General features: G+C 49.7%; 1 protein-coding gene across 3 annotated transcripts in view, besides 3 other annotated features; it reads right to left on the reverse strand.

Annotated features, from left to right (window-relative positions):
* The window catches only part of HIP1 (huntingtin interacting protein 1), a 205644-nt gene extending 189991 nt beyond the window's left edge, over positions 1–15653 (reverse strand). For all 3 annotated transcript variants that reach the window (NM_001243198.3, XM_011516116.3, NM_005338.7), the window contains exon 1: positions 15513–15653. In NM_001243198.3, coding sequence (NP_001230127.1) covers positions 15513–15632 — 120 coding nt within the window. In that variant the 5' untranslated portion in view covers positions 15633–15653. The remainder of the gene's footprint in view (positions 1–15512) is intronic.
* Positions 138–287: an enhancer, noted in NCBI's record as "active region_26180". NCBI's record gives its function as "activates an Ori minimal core promoter by ATAC-STARR-seq in GM12878 lymphoblastoid cells {active_cell/tissue: GM12878}" and the evidence as "EXISTENCE:reporter gene assay evidence [ECO:0000049][PMID:35858748]".
* Positions 6459–6960: an enhancer, noted in NCBI's record as "H3K27ac hESC enhancer chr7:75359065-75359566 (GRCh37/hg19 assembly coordinates)". NCBI's record gives its function as "activates a minimal SCP1, AML or CMV promoter by ChIP-STARR-seq in primed H9 embryonic stem cells {active_cell/tissue: H9 hESC(primed)}" and the evidence as "EXISTENCE:reporter gene assay evidence [ECO:0000049][PMID:30033119]".
* Positions 15441–16430: a silencer, noted in NCBI's record as "silent region_18299". NCBI's record gives its function as "represses an Ori minimal core promoter by ATAC-STARR-seq in GM12878 lymphoblastoid cells {active_cell/tissue: GM12878}" and the evidence as "EXISTENCE:reporter gene assay evidence [ECO:0000049][PMID:35858748]".

The raw sequence follows: 22179 nt of genomic DNA on the forward strand, positions 1-22179 counted from the left end.
TTGAACCCAGGAGGCGGAGGTTGCAGTGAGCCGAGATCGCGCCATTGCACTCCACCCTGGGCGACAGAGCAAGACTCCATCTCAGAAAACAAAACAAAAAACAAACCCAGCCATTTATTATCTTACAGTTCTGTAGGTGAGAATGCAACAGGTCTCACTGGGCTAAAATTGGGGCATCAACAGCCCTGTCTTCTGTCCTGGAGGGCCTGGGAAAATCTGCTTCCAAGTTCATTCAGGTTGTTGGTGGAATCCGACATCTTGCAGTGCCAGGCCCGAGGTCCCCGTCTCCTTGCTGGGTCTCAGCCAGGGGCCACCCTTAGCTCCTAGAGGCCTCCCTCTGGTCCTCCCACATCTCAGAGTTAGCAGCTGTGCATGAAACCCTTCTCATGCTGGGAAACTCCCTTGTGCTTGTAGCTAGAGAAGTTACTCTGCTTTTAAGGATCTATGTGATTAGACTGGGCCCACCTGGATCATCCAAGACCCTCCCTGCTTTAAGATCCTTAATTACATTTGCAAAGTCCCTTCTGCCATGTAGAAGGCCTCCTGTTCTGAAGGTCCTTCTGCAATCCTCCCACCTCAGCGTCCCAAGTAGCGGGGACTATAGGTGTGTGTCAGTGCGCCCGGCTAATTTTTTTATTATTATTATCATTTATATATATATAGAGAGAGAGAGAGAGAGAGAAAGAGAGACAGAGTCTCGCTCTGTCACCCATGCTGGAGTACAGTGGTGCAATCTCAGCTCACTGCAACCTCCGCCCCCGGGGCTCAAGCGATTCTCTCACCTCAGCCTCCTGAGTAGTTGGGATTACAGTTGTGAGCCACCACACCCAGCTAATTTTCATATTTTTAGTAGAGACGGGGTTTCACCATGTTGGCCAGGCTGGTCTCGAACTCCTGACCTCAGGTGATCCGCCTTGGCCTCCCAAAGTGCTGGGATTACAGGCGTGAGCCACCGCGCCCAGCCTATTTTTATTTTTTGAGGCTGAGTCTCACTCTGTCGCCAGGCTGGAGTGCAGCGGTGCCATCTCAGCTCACTGCAACCTCTGCCTCCCGGGTTCAAGCGATTCTCCTGCCTCAGCCTTCTGAGTAGCTGCAATTACAGGCACCCGGCACCATGCTTGGCTAATTTTTGTATTTTTAGTAGAGACAGAGTTTTGCCATGTTGGCCAGGCTGGTCTCCAACTTCTGACCTCAGGTGATCTGCCCGCCTTGCCCTCCCAAAGTGCTGGGATTACAGATGTGAGCCACTGCACCCAGCCTAAAAAACTGCCCAAAGTGCTGGGATTACAGGTGTGAGCCACCATGCCTAGCCATCGCCACTAATTTATTTTCTATTTAACAGACATCCTCAGCCTTAGCTGGGATAAAGCCCTCTGCTAGATGCTGGGGCAATATACTAAAAGTTGAATGAGAAATTTAGGGCCTGTGTGCCAGTAAGGAAGGTAGACACAAGACACGAATGAATGGAAGCCACAACTTGGGCATGTGGAATAGCAACACTCTGAGTCTGGCTAACAACAGGGCTCAATTTCCTGGCTGCAAGTTACAGCAGCTCTAGGAAGATGCTGCTTGCAGATGCGTGGTTCATAAATCAAACGCTCCCCAATTCTAGGGCAGCATTGGGAATGCTTCCGAGGGGAGGCAGAATTTGAGAGAGACCTCAAAGGATGCATCAACAGGGTAAGGGGCAGGTTCTTAGACACTGTCTCCTACTCTGACTCTGTGGGGGGAGTTCTGTTGTGTTGGTTGTTTTTAGGGGCAGAGTCTCACTCTGTCACTCAGGCTGGAGTACGGTGGTGCCATCATAGCTCACTGCAGCCTCCAACTTGGGCTCAAGCGATCCTCCCACCTCAGCCTTCCTAGTAGCTGGGAATACAGGCATGCACCACCACACCTGGCTAATTAAAAAAATCTTTTTGTAGAGACAGGGTCTCACTATGTTGCCCAGGCTGGTCTCAAACTCCTGGCCTCAAGTGATCCTCTCGCCTCAGCCACCCAAAGTGCTGTGATTACAGGCATGCGGCACCATGCCCAGCTAGGAGTTTTTTGTTTTTTTCTTTTAAGTTTGTATTTTGAAATATAAAGAACACTGCACAAAACCGTATTGCTTAATGAATTATCAAAAACCATTACCGAGGCTAGCAGAACGCTAGCAGGGTCTCAGAAACTCCCTTTCCCCACCCTCCCAATCACCAACCTCCCCTGCACCCAAAGATAACTTTTACTGGTCTTTTATGAGAATCACTTCCTTTTTTCTTTACAGTTTTACTATCTAAGCAAGCAAATTGAAGTATACAGAAAATGTCCTTTTGTGTCTGCCTTTTTCTTCACTCAACATTCTGTTTGCAGCGTTCATCCGTGTTGTTGAATGTAACTAAAGTTTATTTTCATGGGTGTATAGTATTCTGATGAAAGACTATATTATGTATACATCCATCTACTGTTCACGGGCTTTTGGTGTGTTTGCAGGTTGGGACTATTATAAAATATGATTATGAATATTCTTCTAAATGTCTGTGGGTGCATGTGCTATGCATTTTTTTTTTTTTTTTGAGACTGAGTCTCACTCTGTTGCCCAGGCTGGAGTGCAGTGGCACAATCTCGGCTCACTGCGTCTCCATCTCCCGGATTCAAGCAATTCTCCTGCCTCAGCCTCCCTGTAGCTGGGATTACAGGCATGTACCACCATGCCCAGTTTTTGTTTGTTTGTTTGTTCGTTTGTTTGTTTGTAGTTTAGCTGAGACGCGGTTTTACCATGTTGACCAGGCTGGTCTGGAACTCCTGACCTCAAATGATCTGCCTGCCTTGTTATCACAAACTGCTAGGATTGCAGGCGTGAGCCACCGCGCCCAGCTGTGCTTGCATTTCTGTTGGATATATAACTAGCAGTGGTATGGCTAAATTACTGAGGATGCCTGTCTTTAGTTTTAGCATAACACTAGACATTATCCAATGTGGTTGCCCCAGTTTACAGTCCCACCTGCAGTGCCTGGGCATTTTTTTTTTTTTCTTTGAGACGGAGTCTCGCTCTGTCTCCCAGACTGGAGTGCAATGGTTCGGTCTTGGCTCACTGTAACCTCTGCCTCCCGGGTTCAAGCGATTCTCCTGCCTCAGATTCCAGAGTAGCTGGGACTACAGGCACATGCCACCACACCTGGCTAATTTTTTGTATTCTTAATAGAGACAAGGTTTCACCTTGTTAGCCAGGCTGATCTCGAACTCTTGACCTCGCGATCCGCTCACCTTGGCCTCCAAAAAGTGCTGGGATTACAGGCATGAGCCACCATGCCTGGCCGGGCATTTTTATCACCCCACGTCCTTGCCAATGCTTGGCACTGTCAAGTTTTCTTTTTTTAATATTTTTAATTTCAGCCATCCTGATGGGCATGTAGAGGTATCTCATTAAATGTTTTTCTTTTTTTTTTTTTTTTGGTAGACAGAGTCTCGCTCTGTCCACCAGGCTGGAGTGCAGTGTACGATCTCCATCTCGGTTCACTGCAACCTCCGCCTCCCAAATAGCTGGGATTACAGGCACGCCCCACCATGCCTGCCTAATTTTCATATTTTTAGTAGAGATGGGGTTTCACCATGTTGGCCAGGCTGGTCTCGAACTCCTGACTTCGGGTGATCTGCCCAACTCAGCCTCCCAAAGTGCTGAGATTACAGGTGTGAGCCATTGTGCCTGGCCAGTACCTTATTAAATGTTAATTTGCATTTTCCTGATTGCTAATGAAGCTGCACACCATTTCATAAGTTTATTGGCCATTTGTTTATCCCCTTTCATTAAGTATCTCCTGCTTATTTTTTTTTAAATTAAGTTTGTCTTTTTGTTTGTTTTTGAGACACAGGTCTCACTGTGTCACCCAGGCTGGAGTGTAGTGGTGTGATCATGGCTCACTGCAGCCTTGACCTCCCCAGGTCCCTGGCATCAGTCTCCTAGGCCGAGTAGCTGGGACTATAGATGTACACCTAAGTTTTTGTATTTTTTGTACAGGCGGGTTTTCACCATGTTGCTTAGGCTGGTCTCGAACTTCTGGGCTCAAGGGATCCGCCCACCTCAGCCTCCCAAAGTGCTAGGATTACAGGCATGGGCCACAGTGCCTGGCCTTTTCTTTCTTTCTTTTTTTTTTTTTAAAGTTTTTTGTTTGTTTCTCTTAAATTTTTTACATATTCTGGATATAGGCCCTTTGATAATTATGTGTGTTGCAAATATTTTCTTCTGGGAGGAATTTTCAGTGTCCAAATAAGTCAACCAGAAAAGACTTAGAAAAATAAGGCTGGGCGCAGTGGCTCACGCCTATAATACCAGCACTTTGGGAAGCCCAGGCGGGTGGATCACCTGAGGTCAGGAGTTCGAGACTAGCCTGGGCAACATGGTGAAACCCCGTCTCTACTAAAAATAGAAAAATTATCCGGGCATGGTGGCATGTGCCTGTAGTCCCAGCTATTCAGGAGGCTGAGACAGGAGAATTGCTTGAATCCAGGAGCAGGAGGTTGCAGTGAGCTGAGATTACACCACTGGATTCCAGCCTAGGTGACAAAGCGAGACTCCATCTCAAAAAAAAAAAAAAAAAAACTTAGCAAAATAAATGTCTGTACCTTTTCTAAGTCACACATATCTAAGCCACTGACCCGGCTTCCGCTTTAAAGGGAGATACAGAAAGAAAGTATAAAATTTGGGGCCAGACAAGCCAGGTTCAAACCTCAGTTCTGCCACTTCCTGAGTGCTCTCAAACAAGTCTTTTAATCTCTCTGAGCCTCAGTGTCTGTATTTGAAAACTGACCACAACCATCTACTGCATGCTTGCTCTGTGGCTTCAAAGGAGTAATGTGTCAACATGCCTTTAAACGATAGTGTTACTTGTGTTAAACACAAGCCATAGGCCACACTGGCTTCCTGAGCTGTCTTGTGGCAGTATTAGCAGAGGCAGCAGCAGCAACCTTTCTGATCCAAGAAAAGATGCCATTCTCTCTTCCTCTGAGCCAGCAGACACCTTAAATCACGGTCCCTCTCCCCTCACAAGTCCTGCCCACACACTGGGAACAGAGCTCCTCCCTGGCTGCCCAGGCAGGAAAACAGGAAACAGCCACCACCCTGCCGGGAGGTGGGGCTGACAAGTTCTCTTTCCCAGGTGGGCATCTCTCCAGGTCATCAACCCTCCTTGATGCAGGAGGAGAGCTGGCTGCCAGCCCACTGCACAAGGCTGTGCCCGCTGCCACACCCAGGTCTCCGCCACACCTCGCCTTGAGGCAGTGGAATAAGTGGGCCAATGAATGGGGAGCAGAAAACAGTCTTCATCAGTGCCTTGCAGAAGTGCCAGAGGGGGAACCCTTTCAGTGCCCAAGTGGGGCAGGGAATCTGATCTCCTGGGCCATAGGGACACGCCCCATCCTTCTTAACGTGCAGCACCAACCCTTTATTTTTATTTTTTTTAATCTTCTTTTTCAGAGATGGGGTCTCTGCACTCCAGCCTGGGAGACACAGCGAGACTCTGTCTCAAAAAAAAAAAAAAAAAAAAAAGGACAGGGACCAGGGACCAGGGACGAGGGACCCTGATGGTGCCATATCAGGCAGGGTCTCAGAGAAGGCAGCAAAAGTTTTTGAAAAAGGGCAGTTATAAAAGTAGTTGTCAGTGAAGGGGGAGTATGGTGGGGGGAAGTGGGGTGAAAAACTACCTATGGGGTACTATGCTCACTACCTAGGTGACAGGATCATTCATACCCCAAAACTCAGTGACATGCAGTTTACCCATGTAACAAGCCTGCGCATGTACCATCTGAACTTAAAAGTTGAGGAAAAAAAGTGTAGAGGAAACAGAAGAAAAAAAAAAACCAAAATTCTAACAAGTGAATAAAAATAAGAAACTAGAACAGGAAAAAAAAAAAAAGAAGAAGCATTGTTGGGCCAGGTGCAGTGACTCAATAATCCCAACAATTTGGGAGGCTGAGGCGAGAGGATCGCTTCAGGCCAGGAGTTTGAGACAAGCCTGGGCAACGTAGTGAGATCTTGTCTCTGCAAAAAAAAAAAAAAAAAAAAAAAAAAAATTAATTAGCTGGGTGTGGCAGCACATACCTGTAGTCCCAGCTGCTCAGGAGGCTGAGGTGGGAGAATCACTTGAGCCCAGGAATTCGAGGCTGCAGTGAGCTATGATCGCATCACTGCATTCCAGCCTGGGCAACACAGCAAGACTCTATCTCTTAAAAAACAAAAAAGCGGCCGGGCGCAATGGCTCACGCCTGTATTCCCAGTACTTTGGGAGGCTGAGGTGGGCAGATCACCTGAGGTCAGGAGTTCGAGACCAGCCTGGCTAACATGGCAAAACCTAGTCTCTTCTAAAAGTACAAAAATGAGCTGGGCATGGTGGCAGGCGCCTGTAATCCCAGCTACTCAGGAGGCTGAGGCAGGAGAATAGCTTGAACCCAGGAGGCAGAGGTTGCAGTGAGCCGAGATCGCGCTACTGCACTCCAGTCTGGTTGACAAGAACGATACTCTGTCTCAAAACAAAACAAACAAACAAACAAAAATCACAGTGTTGGATTTGAGGGACACTGTCCAGAACAGGTGATTTAGAGGGCAGGCAGGATGAGATGACAAAAATCCAGGCAAGATGTAATAAGAGCAGGAAATGCAAGATTCACAGGATGAATGGGTGAGACAAGTCTCACAGAGGCACTCAACAGAATGCGGCTGTGAGGGCAGGAAGGAGGGAGGGCTCAGAACTGACACCAGAGAGAAGGTGGGGACCATTGTCCTGCCATGGGGCCGCCCGAGGGGGTACAGTTGTCCAGTGGGAAGTGGTCACTCAGGCTGGGAAGTCAGGAGGGAGATGTGGGGAGTCAGTGCCACAGAAGTGAGAACAGAAACCATCAGACAGAGGTGAGGGCAAAGGAAGTGGACAGGAGGTAAAAGAGAAGTGGGGTGAGGACAACGCCTTGGGGACCCCAAGCATAAGGAGGAAGAGAGCAGAGGGTGCCAGGCAGTGACAGAAGGACAAACAGAGAGCATAGCTATCAACCCCTGAAAGCCTCAATTTCCTCCTCTGTAAAATAGGATTTTTTTTTTTTTTTGAGACGGAGTTTCGCTCTTGTTGCCCAGGCTGGAGTGCAATGGCGCGATCTCAGCTCACTGCAACCTCTGCCTCCCGAGTTCAAGTGATTCTCGTGCCTCAGCCTCCCAAGTAGCTGGGATTACAGGCGCACGCCACCACGCCCAGCTAATTTTGTATTTTTACCAGAGACAGGGTTTCTCCATGTTGGTCAGGCTGGTCTTGAACACCTGACCTCAGGTGATCCACCCGCCTCGGCCTCCCAAAGTGCTGGGATTACAAGTGTGAGCCACCGTGTCCAGCCTAAAATAGGAATTATAATTCATACATGTGTTGCAAGGATCGAAAAGGGTGGCTCATGTAAGGCCTTTACCATTTGCACACAGTATGTGGGCAGTAATTTTTTTTTTTTTTTTGAGACAAGGTCTTTCTCTGTTGCCCAGGCTGGAGTGCAGTGGTGTGATCTCGGCTCAATGCAACCTCCCCACTTTCCGGGTTCAAGCGATCCTCCTGCTTCAGCCTCCCGAGTAGCTGGGATTACAGGCATGCACCACCACGCCCAGCTAATTTTTATATTTTTAGTAGAGAATGGGTTTCACCGTGTTGGCCAGGATGGTCTCGAACTCCTGGCCTCAAGTGATCCGCCCGCCTCAGCCTCCCAAAGTGCCAGGATTACAGGCATGAGCCACCATGCCTGGTCAGTAAATGTTGACGATTACCATTACCATCACTGGGAAGAAACTCAGGACAGTACAAAACCAGGGACCAAAAGAAAGCTCTTAACTTCCTTCTTAAGTTTTCAATACCCACTAAAGGAGCAAGGTTGGGGAGATAGAAGGGTACAGAAGTTTAAGAAGCCAGTTCTGGGCCAGGCGCAGTTGCTCCCGCCTGTAATCCCAGCACTTTGGGAGGCCAAGGTGGGCGGATCACTTGAGGTCAGGAGTTAGAGACCAGCCTGGCCAACATGATGAAACCCCGTCTCTACTAAAAATACAAAAATTAGCTGGGCATGGTGGCGCACGCCTATAATCCCAGCTACTCCTGAAGCTGAGGTGAGAGAACCACTTGAACCCAGGAGTCACATATTGTAGTGAGCCGAGATGGCGCCATTGCACTCCAGCCTGGGTGACAGAGACTCCAACTCAAAAAAAAAAAAAAAAAAAAACGCCAGCTCTGATTGTCAAGTAAATGGAAAAATGGGGTTCACGAGCAGCTCTCCTTGCAAGAAGGCACCTGCTCAGACTTCAGGCAAGGGGTGACTTCTTTGTGCACCTGCTCCAGAAGCAGAAGGGGTGGGGCGCCAGGTTCAAGGCTCAGGGTGCTACACAGCCTGGCTCTGAGCATTTGCATTCCTAAAGAACAAACCTGACACAGATGCTTCTTACCTGCAGGAAGCAGGCTTAGGGCCATCTTGGTTTTCTGAGTATAACCAGAACCAACTGAGCCACCCAAAGTCCGTGGGGTGCCAGGGGTGTGGGAACCCATCAGGACCCACGGTCACCATCTTGATTGCACATGAGAACCACCTGGGACTTTACAAAATGTCAATGATCACCCCATACCAATGAGACAGAATCCTTATGCAGGGGGCCCAGAGAAACAGTATTTTATTTTTTCAAAGAGCTCTCCAGCCAGGGTTGAGAACCGCAGATCCTTCTAGCCCAGCCCTAAAATTTTTTAGCTGCTGAACTAAGGCTGAGCATCTGCTTAAGATCATGAGCAAGAGGGCAGAAGTACCCGCAACGTAAACATGAAAAAAAGGACTTTGCCATTTGGTTGTGAAGTCCTGGCTTCTCGGTTCACTCGCTGTGTGACCTTGGACAAGTCACTTAGCCTCTCTGAGCCTGAGCTATTAAAATGAAATCATAGATATAAATCACCCAGCATGTTCCTGGTACCCAGCAGGCCCTCAATAAATATTTGTTTCTATCTCTTTCTCTCTAGGATCTAAGGCTCTTCTCAACGCAGGATGCATTAAGATCCTTTGCTCTGACGTATGCGCTATCCACCGACTTTTTTTGTTTGTTTCTGGCTTTTTTTGTGTTGTTTTTCCTTTTACAGGGTCTGGCTCTGTCACCCAGTCTGGAGTGCAGTGGTGTGATCACGGCTCACTGCCGCCTCAACTTCCTGGGCTTAAACAATCGTCCTGTCTCTGCCTGCCGAGTAGCTGGGACTACAGGCAGCACCACCATGCCCAGCTAATTATTTGATTTGATTTGATTTTTTTGTAGAGACAGGGTCTCGCTATGTTGCCCAGGCTGGTCTCGAACTCCTGGGCTCAAGCCATCCTCCCGCCTCAGCCTCCCAAAATGCTGGGATGATAAACATGAGCCACTGCGCCCGGCTCACCCAAAGAGATTTTGACTCTCTAAAGGTTTGTTCCCCACTCTGTGTCTTTTCCTCTAATCCCAGAACTCACCTACTACAGAGCACTGTTGCTCAAACATCAGCGTACACAGAGTACCCAGGGCTGTGGTGAACACGACAAGTCCTGATTCAGTAGTTCTGGGTGGTGCCCAACATCCTAATGGCCCTGGTGATGCTGGTGTTTCGGGGCCTGACCACATCAGAGCCCCAAGGCTTGTCCAGGAGCCCCGCAGTGGCCAGTCTGCCTCCCTGCTGACTCACGAGCCCCCCAGAGCCGGTCTCTTTATCTTACTCATCTCTGTGTCTCCTCCACGGTATGTGCTCACTAAACGGATGTTGAAGAAATAAACAAACCATGGAGAAAACCATTTTCCAGCTAAGTAAAAACAGACTATTTTATTTGTCCTGTGATTGACAGCCCTCCTGGCTGATTCCAGAATTGCCCTCTTGGCTGGTGGGAGGACAGTGTGGTCGAACGGGCCTGACACTTGGAACCTGGAGTCCTGGTTTTGAATCCTGGCCCTTCCACTCACCCGTGGGATGACCCTGGGCACGTTACCAAGCTCTTTGAGTCACGATGTCCTCATCCATAAAATGAAAATGATAATGACTGACCACCGTGTGGTCCCAATGATGGCTAGAAACATGCTTTATAAACTGTAAAGTACTCCTGATAAGGTCTCCTTATTACGGCTGGGTTTTCTTTTCTTTTCCTTTCTTTTCTTTTTCTTTTTTTTTTTTTTTTGAGGGCAGGCAGTACTTTTCACTTCCCTAAAGCTTGAAAGTGGCTTGTGATGGATTGGGTGGGGAACACACCAAGGGTCTGGTTGGAGATGGGTGCAGTGGCTGGGCCATGAGGCAGGTCAGTGGTGCCTCCTCTGGCAGTGACAGTGGCCAGGTGAAATGTGAGGATGGTGCAGGAGAGTTGAGGAGGCAAGGCTTCCTGGAGGAGGCTGGCAGGAGTAGGTATGCAAGGCTGGTCTGAGGGTATAGACGCCAGGACAGAAGAAGGCAGGCAGAGCAGTGAGAGTCTTTTGATGGGCATGTGGCCAGGCTCTAGACTGGGTATGCGGGAGGCAAGGCTAGACCAACAGCGACCCTGGAGCATTATAAGAAAACAAGTAATTATAGGCCGGGCACGGCGGCTCACACCTGTAATCCCAACACTTTGGGAAGCCAAGGCGGGAGGACTGCTTGAGCCCAGGAGTTCAAGACCAGCCTGGGCAACACAGCAAGACCCCATCTCTACAAAAAAAATTCTAGGCCAGGAACGATGGCTTATACCTGTAATCCCAGCACTTTGGGAGGCTGAGGCAGGCGGCTCACCTGAGGTCAGGAGTTCGAGGCCAGCCTGGTCAACAAGTGAGACCCTGTCTCTACTAAAAATACAAAAAATTAGCCGGGCGTGGTGGCGCTCGCCTGTAATCCCAGCTACTCGAGAGGCCGAGGCAGGAGAATCACTTGAACCCAGGAGGCGAAGGTTGTAGTGAACCGAGATGGCGCCACTGCACTCCAGCCTGAGCAACAGAGTGAGACTCTGTCTCAAATAAATAAATAAATAAATAAATAAATAAATAAATAAATAAATTTTAAAGATCAGCTAAGCATGGTGGCATGCTCCTGTAGTCCCAGCACTCAGGAGGCTAAGGCAGGAGGATCACTTGAGCCCAGGAGTCCCAGGCAAAACTGAGCTATGATGGTGCCACTGCACTCCAGACTGGACAATAGAGCGAGACCATCTCTTACATAAAAATAAATAAAGTAATTATTAATATATCCTGTGGCCCAGGGCTGAACTACCCACCTAGGCCCAGGGTTCCCTTGCTGACCCCATTCACCACTAACCATGAGCTTCAGGATGCAGGCAAGAGCAAGACACAGACCTGCCCTCAATAAGCTCAGTGTTCAATGGGGGCCACAGAGAGAAATGATGCCAGCACAAGGTCACAGGAACTAGGAGAGGTCACCAGCCCTGCTATAGTTCAGAGGAGGGAGTGGCCAATTTTGCCTCTCTGTCTACCCCAGCCAATGAGTCTCCACTGCACCCGCTGGGAAGTTTATCTGCCTAGTCTAGATGTCTCTTTATTTATGTTCTTCTGTCACTGGAATGCCCCATCCCCTCCTCCACCCAGCAAGCACTAACTCATGCTACAAGATGTGCTTCAGTCCTCGGGGAGGGCTCCCAACCCCAAAGCCTGTGCTTTATCCACGTGCTCTTGGTAATTATCCCATTACCTAGTACCACATCTATCCCTCTAAGGAAGAGTTAATCACAGCCTGCTTGATTGCTCACACTTCTGCTGTCTCGGGTTCGTCTCCCCAGTCAGATTATAACAATAATCACTGAACTAGTGCTCCACAGTTTACAAAATGCCTTCAGGCATATTGGGCTTAATTGAATCCCCACAATAAATCAGCCAGGTAAGTATTATGTTTATTTGACAATAAGGAAACCGAGGCTTAGAAAGGTTAGACAACTTCCCAGAGACCACAAGGCCCATGTACATGCCCAGCTGTAAGCCTCAAATGCCTTCTAACTCCAATGCCAGCATCTGCTCAGTACTCAGAGGCTGCCTGAGGCAGTGGGTAAAGGTTGAGACCGTTTCCAGCTGTGTGACTTCTGGTGAGTTACTTAACCTCTCTGTGCCTCAATCGTCCTGAGAGTAAAATGTGGCTGATACCCACCTCATCCGTTCTTGTCAAGATTTAAAAAGGTAATACAATGATGTCCTTAGAATACTGCCAAACACAATAATTAGTTAGTTATTATTATACCTTGGCTGATTCTCATGGTCTCCTAACTCATTAAATTTTTTCTAATTCATTTTTTATATCTCATAATACATTCTTCCCCTTTTTTCCCTTTGCTTACCAAGCTCTGCAACCTCATAATACATTTGATAGGTAGTCATTAAACAAAATAATTTTTTTGCAGATTGACTAACGTTGGGTTTAGGGCTGTTCTCTTTTCTTTTCTTTTCTTTTTCTTTTTCTTTTTTTTTTATTTGAGATGGGGTCTCACTCTGTTGCCCAGGCCGGAATGCAGTGGCACAATCTTTGCTCACTGCAACCTCTGCCTCCCGGGCTCAAGCAATCCTCCCACCTCAACCTCCAAAGTTACTGGGACAACAGGCACGTGATACCACAACCAGCTAATTTTATTTTTTGTAGAGATGGGGTCTTACTATGTTGTCCAGGCTGGTTCTTTTTCTTTACTCTCCTACACCCCTAAAGAGTTTCAACACCAGAGGCTGGGTGCAGTGGCTCACACCTGAAATCCCAGCACTTTGGGAGGCTGAGGTGGGAAGATCGCTTGAGGCTAGTTCAAGACCAGCCTGGGAAAACACAGTGAGACCTCCGTCTTAAAAAAAAAAAAAGTTAAAAATAAGAGTTTCAACATCAGAAAAATTCTCTTTTTCTGCTCCACTCTACTTCACCCCCACCCACCCCACCCAGGTCAAATCTGGCCAATCACAAATGTCCCACAGAATGTAAAACACCAGAAAACACTGACCTAGACTCTCCTGTTGGGCCGTCCCTGGATAGCAGGGAAACATACCACTCACGGGTGGAAACTTTCACAAACCTAATTTCTATCACTATTATGGGTCAAAGTCTTACGCATATTTCTCTATTGCTCTAGTTTTTACTTATTTGAGACTCTAGAAGGAACGGGTTGTTAAAAAATAATATCTATTTATTTTCTTATTTCATTTATTAAAAAAAAAAATAGGGCTGGGTGCCATGGCTCATGCCTGTAGTCCCAGCACTTTGGGAGGCAGAAGCAGAAGAATCACTTGACGCCAGGAGTTTGAGACCAGTCCGGGCAACACAGTGAGACCCCCATCTCTATGAAAATATAAAAATAAAAGGAATATACACACTGTTTCATGGAGCAAGAAGCCTCATGTAACTAGGCAGCTAGCAGAGGCACTAACATCCAAGACCAATGGAAAACTTCCTTCTTTTCAGGGGTCGGGTCCATGAAACCAGAGAACAAGCCTCAAACCTAGCTGGATCCTGGGAGGCAGAAGTGAAATGACCATTTCCCACTTCCCTCCTGGGGTAGGATAACCAGGTAGAGAAGACTCCCTGCTTCACACCATCCAGACACACCTGCATGGAGGCACTTTCTTTTTTTCTTTTTCTTTTTTTTTTTTGTAGAGACAGGGTCCCACTGCTTCACACTATCCAGACACACCTGCGCGCGGTTTTCTTTCTTTTTTTCACTTTTTTGTAGAGATAGAGTCTCACTCTGTCACCCAGGCTGGAGTGCAGTGGCACGATCATAGCCCACTGCAGCCTCAGCCTCCTGGCTCAAGTGACCCTCATGCCTCAGCCTCTCAAACAGCTGGGACTATAGGTGTATGCCACCACACGAGGATAATTTTAAAATTTTTTCAAAATAGAGGCGGGATCTCAGTGTGTTGTCTAGGCAGGTATCGAACTCCTGGGATCAAGTGATCCTCCCACCTTGGCCTCCCAAAGTACGGGGATTACAGGTGTGAGCTAATGCACCCAGCCTAATTTTTTTATTTTTTGTAGAGACAGGGTCGCACTATGTTGCCCAGGTGGGGGGCCAAAGGTTTTCAGAATAAGAAGAGGGGATGAAGTCCTCTGGGGGTGAAAAGCTTTATTCTTTTTTATTATTATTATTTTGAGACGGAGTTTCGCTCTTGTTGCCCAGGCTGGAGTGCAGTGGCGCCATCTCGGCTCACTGCAACCTTCACCTCCCAGATTCAAGCAATTCTGCTGGCCTCAGCCTCCCAAGTAGCTGGGATTACAAGCGTCTGCAACCACGCCCAGCTAATTTTTTGTATTTTTAGTAGAGACAGGGTTTCACCATGTTGGCCAGGCTGGTCTCAAACTCCTGACGTCAGGTGATCCACCCGCCTCGGCCTCCCAAAGTGCTGGGATTACAGGTGTGAGGTACCGCGCCCGGCCAAAAGCTCTATTCTTTGAAAGATTCCATATACAGAACCTTCAGTCAGATTCTCACTGTCTTTTCTAACTAAAATCCCAAAGCCCTTTCCCTCCAACTGTGTTTGGGGGAAGTATTCCTCGCATAACACATCAGGGGACCAGCCTCTGGAGAGGGGGACCCAAATGGATCTTCAAAGGTTCCACTCTGAGCACAAGAGTGTAGAAGAAATCTGCCCCTCCAGCATTGGCACTGGGATTAAAAGAAGCGTTGTACTCTTTGAAATGGATTTTACATACAAATGAATTGATGAACACCATCAACATGTCAGCTTAATTCAGCCCAATCAATACACCAGGCATTAAAAACTCGGAGAAAAAAATGGATTGTGGCTTTTTGTTGATGACACTGAGGAATTTTGGCCCCAAGCCCTGGCCAGGCAGGACAAATAGGGCAGTCTGCCTATTAGCTGTCAGGCACATCTTGGGGGATAAAACCAAGACCCCAAGTCAGGGCTCAGGGGCACCATGGTCTCCACTTTAGCCCCCAAAGTAATTTTCCCACAAAGTGGCCACACTTTGCATTTCCTACATTCCTTTTCCCTGCTCCGACCCCTTCCGCCCGGCCTCAGAGCTGACAGCTGGGGCTGGCCAGAGCCAAGCAAGAGGCATCGAGAAAGGGGGATGCTAAGGGGTGGGGGGTGGGAAGGGATGTCAATGCAACCAAGAAGTGATCGGAGGGGAAGAGAGGTCCCCTCACCCTTCACATTCCCAGCCCGGCGCCCCCACTCTCCGCCCCCACACTTGAGCCTCCAAGTGGCTCCCGTGCGCTTCCCTTGTTTAGGGGCAACCCTTCCATTCCGCCCCTTTTCAGTTCCTTCCCCTCTCACCTCATCTTGGGACTCCTGCCCGGTACCCAGCCGATCAGGCTCCTCTTGGCCACGCATCCTGCCATCTCCTCCGAGCCCGCCTCTGCCCTTCTCCCCAGGCCAGCTGGGGTACCCTGGGGTCCCCGACCTTCCTGGGATCGCCCAGATCTGCACGTCAATGCCCCCGCTCACTACACCCTCGCCCCGTCTTCAACTGGGGCCTGCAAGACTCCTACTCCCTTCAAAGCCCCTCCCGGACACCGCGTCCCTCAGGGTGCCCCAGGGATGCCCCGGGGTCCCCCGTCCTCACCTGAGTCCGCTCGAAGCTCTCGCGCTCCGCCGCCTCCAGCCCAGCGCCGACCCCGCGCCGGCTCAGCACCTTGGGCAGTGGGTTGGGCACCTGCTTCATGGAGCTGGCCATCCGATCCATGTCGCCGCGAGGAGCCGAGTCAGGGGCCCTCGGCTGCCCCGGGATCCCCACGGCGCCGCCCGCCCCGCCCTACCCGCGGGGATCCGGCGCTAACGGGACGGCTCCCGCCTGCCATTGGCTGTGAGTTCTGCCAGTCTTCCAGAGACCCCGCCCCTCGCCGAACGGCTTCCCCGCCCGCCCCCGCCCCTTCAGGAGCCCCTCCGCTGGCTCGGCCCCGACTAGCCTCTCGGGGCCTCGAGGCGCGTGGTGACTGGTCTGGAGTCCTGTCAGTCACCGTGGTCCCGCCGTTCTAGGCAGGGCCGGGGCGGGGTGCGGACGGGGCGAGGCCTGGATGGGGCGTGGCCTGGGCGGGCTGCCCTGATATGCCCTCGCTCGCCCCGCCCCCGCCCGCGCACCGCCCTCTCCTCCCCTCGGCCGCAGTCCCCGCGCGCCCCGAGCGTGCTGCCCTCCGCCAAGCGCCGCCCACTACCCTGCCCGCTCCTGCAGGGGGCTATCCCGCGACGGCCCGTGGAGATGGGCGGGGATGACGCGGGCCGGGCAGTGGGGCCTCCCCCGGGGGAATCCCAGCCCGCCTGCGAATAGCCCGTTAGCTCCTTCCGGGCCTGGGACCCGGGAGCGCCGGACTGACCAGCCCTGCGGCCGCAGCCCGGGAAAGCGCAGCCCCGCGGGCGGGGCGCAGCGTGGGCGCCTGGCCGGATCCGGCTCAATGGGTGGCCGCCCCCACCCAGCTCCCAGGCTTCCCCGTCCTGCACTTCTCCATTCTGCCCCTGCCCATGCCCTCTGCAAGGATCGCAGAGCCCAGGTCCCGGAGTTCGGGGCTGAGTCCGCGGGCACCTCCCGGGACCTGCCTCCCAAACCTCATCAAAGGAACCCGTCAGAGCTTATTTGTTGGTAGAAAGCCCTGTAGACACTTTCGGTTTATCTTAGGCTCTGAGCCGCGCGTCCCATCCTGCTCAGACGTCAGCCAGGGTACCAGCAAGCAGAGAGAAGTGTGATGCTTAGCAGGAGTGCTGGAGAAAGTTAAAAGTTTTCCGTTAAACTCCAATTTAGGTGTGTTTTTGTTTTTGTTTTTGTTTGTTTTTTTTTTTTTTTTTGGTTTCATTTGGAGTCAGTCTCCCTCTGTCGCCCAGGCTGGAGTGCAGATCGTAACACACTGGGACCTTGAGCTCCTGGGTCCTAGCGATTTTCCTGCCTCGGCCTCTCGAGTAGCTGGGACTACAGATGCACGCCACCAAGCCTGGCTATCTTTTTTGCAGAGATGGAGTCTTTCTATGTTGCCCAGACTGGTCTCGAACTCGTGGCCTCAAGCAAGCCTCCCACCTTGGCCTCCCAAAGTACTGTGATTACAGACATGAGCTACAGCACCCGGCATAGATGTATTTTTTAAAAGTTATTTGAAACTCGGAGTAATGAATGGCACCTTTAGGCCTAACAATTTGGTGATTCGTGTGTGTGTGTGTGTGTGTGTGTGTGTTGTAAATTTGGCCAGGTGCGGTGGCTTACACCTGTAATCTCAGCGCTTTGGGAGGCTGAGGCAGGCGGATCGTTTGAGCTCTGAACTTTGAAACCAGCCTGGGCAACATAGCAAGACTCCATCTGTACAAAAAATTTTAAAATTAGCTGGGCGTGGTGGTGCAAGCCTGTAGTCCCAGCTACTCACAAGGCGGGAGGATTACTTGAGCCAGGGAGGCAGAGGTTGCAGTGAGCAGAGATCGCGCCACTGCACTCCAGCCTGGGAGACAGAGCGAGACCCCGTCTCAAAAAAATATATACATATTTCTTTGTAGTGAGGGGTATGTTGCTGGATTGCCCAGGCTGGTCATGATCTCCTGGGCTCAAATGATCCTACCACCTCAGCCTCCCAAAGCACTGGGATTACAGGTGTGAGCCACCCTGCCCTGCCTGTTTTTTTTTTGTTTTTGTTTTTATTTTTTTTAATAAGAGCGTTTGGTAAAAATTCACACATTCAATAGAGAAGTGAAAGAGGGGTGGGCATTTGCGGTTACTAAGGAGCCACTGAAGACTTTTGCTCAGATGTGTGCACTGAGGAGCTTGTATTGTGGGGATGGATTATGGGGGCCTGATGGAAGGGAGGAAATCAGTGGGGAGACTCTAGCGTAGATGAGAGATGATGAGGGCCTAGAAGAGAAGGGAGAGGAGGAAGTTCTGTCCCGTGGGAGGTTACGCAAATAAGGCTTGGACACAGGGATTGGGGGATGGGCAATGGCGGTGCCATTCAGGCTACATTTGCATAGGAAGGACTGGACTGGTTTCACCTTTACTTAAATTGTGTTTCTGTGGGAGGCTTTGGGAGTGCCCCCTCCCTTGTGTTGCTTTGGGAGAGATTAGATGTCACCTGATTTTTCATGTCTAGGGAGAGGGAGATGACAACTGAGCGTGGGAGCACGGTAGGGGCGCTGACAGAGGAAGAGGAAATTACCTTGGCCGGGCACCGTGGCTCACACCTGTAATCCCAGCACTTTGGGAGGTCGAGGCGGGCAGATCACTTGAGGCCAGGAGTTCAAAATCAGCCTGGCCAACATGGTGAAATTCTGTCTCTACTAAAAAATACAAAAAAGTAGCCAGGTGTGGTGGCATGTGCCTGTAATCCCAGCTACTCGAGAAGCTGAGGCTGGAGAATCACTTGAGCCTGGGAGGCGAAGGCTGCAGTGAGCTGAGATCGCACCAGTGAACTCCAGCCTGCATGACAGAGTGAAACTCTATCTCCAAAAAGCAAAAAACAAAAAACAAACAAACAAAAATCTCAATTTTTAAAAAACATTTATTTATTTAGAGATAGGGTGTAGTGACTTCCTGCTGTTCCAGCAAATCCTGGTGCTTTGCCAATTTACCCGTCCTGGTTGATTCCCCTAACTCAGGTCACACCTTTGTACATAGTTTCTTCCTTTTTTTTTTTTAAGAGACAGACTCTCGCTCTGTTGCCCAGGCTGGAGTGCAGTGTCGCAATCTCAGCTCACTGCAGGCTCTGCCTCCCAGGTTCAAGTTATTCTCCTGCCTCAGCCTCCCAAGTAGCTGGGATTACAGGTGTATGCCACCATGCCCGGCCAATTTTTGTATTGTTAGTACAGACAGAGTTCCACCATGTTGGCCAGGCTGGTCTCGAACTCCTGACCTCAAGTGATCTGCCCGCCTCAGCCTCCCAAAGTGCTGGGATTACAGGCATGAGCCACCATGCCCATCCATGTCTGGCTAATTTTTAAAAAATTTTTTGTGGCCGTGCCACAGTGGCTCATGCCTGTAATCCCAGCACTTTGTGAGGCCAAGGCAGGCAGCTCACTTGAGGCCAGGAGTTCGAGACCAGCCTGGGCAACGTGGCAAAACCCCGTCTTTACTAAAAATACAAAAATTAGCAGGGTGTGATGGCACGCGCCTGTAATCCCAGCTATTTGGGAGGCTGAGGCACGAGAATCGCTTGAACCCTGGAGGTGGAGGTTGCAGTGAGCCAAGTGTGATGGTGCACACCTGTAATCCCAGCTCCTCAGGAGACTGAGACGGGAGGATCCCTTGAGCCCAGGAGGTCGAGGCTGCAGTGAGCTATGATTGCACCCCTGCACGCCAGCCTGAGAGACCGAGACCCTCTCTCAGGAAAAAGAAAGAGAAGGAACTATGTACAAAGGTGTGACCTGAGTTAAGGGAATCAACCGGGACAGGTAAAGCACCAGATATTACTGGAACACCAGGAAGCTGTTACCATCTCTAGACCTAAAGAGAAAAGGGGAGGGAGCTGTGCTGTAACCTGGTGGGGGCTCTGGTCATGGGAAAGTAGGCATTTTCCCAGAGCTGTGACCTTAGGTAGAAAACCCACAGTCACTGTGGAAAGTGGCGTGGCAGGGAGGCAGCTGGGGGATGAATACCCCAATCTCTCTCTCTCTCTTTTTTTGTTTTTTCACGACAGGGTCTCATTCTATTGCCCAGGCTGGAGTGCAGTGGCACAATCTCGGCTCACTGAAACCTCCGCCTCCCGTGTTCGAGTGATTCTCTTGCCTCAGCCTCCCAAGTAGCTGGGATTACAGGTGTCCACCACCACGCCCGGCTAACTTTTGTATATTTTTATTTATTTTTATATTTATTTATTTATTTATTTATTTATTTATTTATTTATTTATTTATTTGAGACAGAGTCCTGCTCTGTTGCTCAGGCTGGAGTGCAGTAGCGGGATCTCGGCTCACTGTAGCCTCCACCTCCCAGGTTCAAGCGATTCTCCTGACTCAGCCTCCTGAGTAGCTGGGATTACAGGCGCCCATGACCAATTCCTGCTAATTTTTGTATTTTTAGTAGAGACAGGGTTTCACCATGTTGGCCAGGCTGGTCTTGAACTCCTGACCTCAGGTGATCCGCCCACCTCAGCCTCCCAAAGTGCTAGGATTACAGGCGTGAGCCACCGCGCCCAGTCATTTCTCTCTCTCTCTCTCTCCCGGCCATTTCTCTCTCTCTCTCTCTCTCTCTCTCTCTCTCTCTCTCTCTCTCTCTCTCCCTCTCTTTCTCATCTACTTTGATTTCCTCCTAGTGCCTCCCATTGTCTAAACCCAGTTGGAAGCCAAGGGCAAGGGTGATGTGGTCAGTGCTGTTCCCATCCCTTCTTCTAGGCACAGAGCCAGCTGGAGAGTTTGGAGCGCTGGATCTGGAGAGGCAAAGAGATTTTTAGCGCAGAGGATTCTCAGGGGTGTACCTCCAAGGAAAAACACCAGACAAGCAGATGATATTCTTAATAACATTGCTTCTTTGAGCCCATTCTCTGTCTTGTGCCCTCGTCACTCTCTGGACCCAGCTAAAGAATGATTTATGACCCTTTGCCCAGAGTTTATGCCTTCAATAAACACGGCCCCTTTAAACAGGGATTAAGGGCTCAGCCTAGTTCTTAATAGGAATAAACCAGACTAGGAATCAGGAATTTGTGGTTTGGAGGGACCCTGTGTGGAAAGGACTCAAGCGAGTTACCTTCCTCTGTGAAACTCAGAGAGAGTTAAAACTAAGGACCTTGGCTGGGCGTGGTGGCTCACGCCTGTAATCTCAACACTTTGGGAGGCCGAGGTGGGCAGATCACGAGGCCAGGAGTTTGAGACCAGCCTGGCCAATATAGTGAAACCCCATCTCTAATAAAAATACAAAAATTAGCTGGGCATGGTGGCGTCCTGTAGTCCCAGATACTCAGGAAGCTGAGGCAGGAGAATTGCTTGAACCTAGGAGGCGGAGGTTGAAGTGAGCCAAGATTGCACTGCTGCACTCCAGCCTGGGCGGCAGAGTGAGACTCCAGCTCAAACAAACAAACAAAACAACAACAACAAAAACAAAACTAAGGATCTCACACTTGCCTTAGCAGCAAAACCCTTTGCCAGGATTTGAGGGAAACTCCTCCCAGGATATAAACTACAGGACTCTGTGAGATGCGTTCAACTCTGACCTTCTCTTCTAGCAATTTAGGAAACAGTTCTTGTACTTTTTTTTTTATAGGGGGTGGGAGGGGACAGGGTCTTACTCTCTCGCCCAGGTTGTAGTGCAGTGGCGCAATCACCGCTTACTACAGCCTCCAACTCCCGAGGGTTGCTCAAGCAATCCTCCAGCCTCAGCCTCCCAAGTAGCTGGGACTGCTGGCGTGTACCACCACGTCCAGCTAATTTATGTTTTAATTTTTTTTACTGAGACAGAGGTCTTATTATGTTGCCCAGGCTGGTCTCAAACTCCTGAGCTCAAGCATTTCTACTGCCTTGGCCTCCCAAATTGCTGGGATTACAGGCATGAGCCACTGTGCCACCCCTCTTGTACTTTTGAGGGATGCTGGTTTCCAGACATAAAATCCTAATCTCTTAGAAAGCCAGAGGAGTAAGTGTCCTATCACCTGCCTTTTATAACAGGTGAAATATGTCCCATTTCATACTCGGTTTGGATCTGGTTTAGCATCTGATATGAAGATGGCCACATTGTCCCATCAGGTTTCTGGAGCCCAAGTACACTTTTTTTTTTTTTAAATTGAGACAGAGTCTCACTCTGTCACCCAGGCTGGAGTGCAATGGCACGATCTCAGCTCACTGCAACCTCCGCCTCCCAGGTTCAAGTGATTCTCTTGCCTCAGTCGCCCGAGTAGCTGGAATTACAGGCATGTGCCACCACACCTGGCTAATTTTTGTATTTTTTTTTAATAGAGGCGGGGTTTCACCATGTTGACCAGGCTGATCTCAAACTCCTGACCTCAAGTGATCCGCCGGCCTTGGCCTCCTAAAGTGCTGGGATTATAGGCGTGAGCCACTGTGCGGGGCCTAAACTTTGACACTTCTGAATAGTACTGACCAGATATTTTACAGGATCTCCCTCCATGTGGGCTTACTTTGTCTTTTCTCATAATTAGATAGATGCTATTAATTTTTGGTAAAATACCACAGAAGTGATGCGTCCTTTTAGCACATTCTCTCAAGGACACATACATATGTGTTATTACTGATGATGTTCACCTCAGTCACTTGGTTAAGGTGGTGTCTGTCATATTTCTTCACTGTAAAGTTATTATTTTCTTATTTGAGAGAGTGTTCC

This window comes from Homo sapiens, chromosome 7, assembly GCF_000001405.40.
Source record: "Homo sapiens chromosome 7, GRCh38.p14 Primary Assembly".
In the NCBI taxonomy this organism is placed as follows: Eukaryota; Metazoa; Chordata; class Mammalia; order Primates; family Hominidae; genus Homo; species Homo sapiens.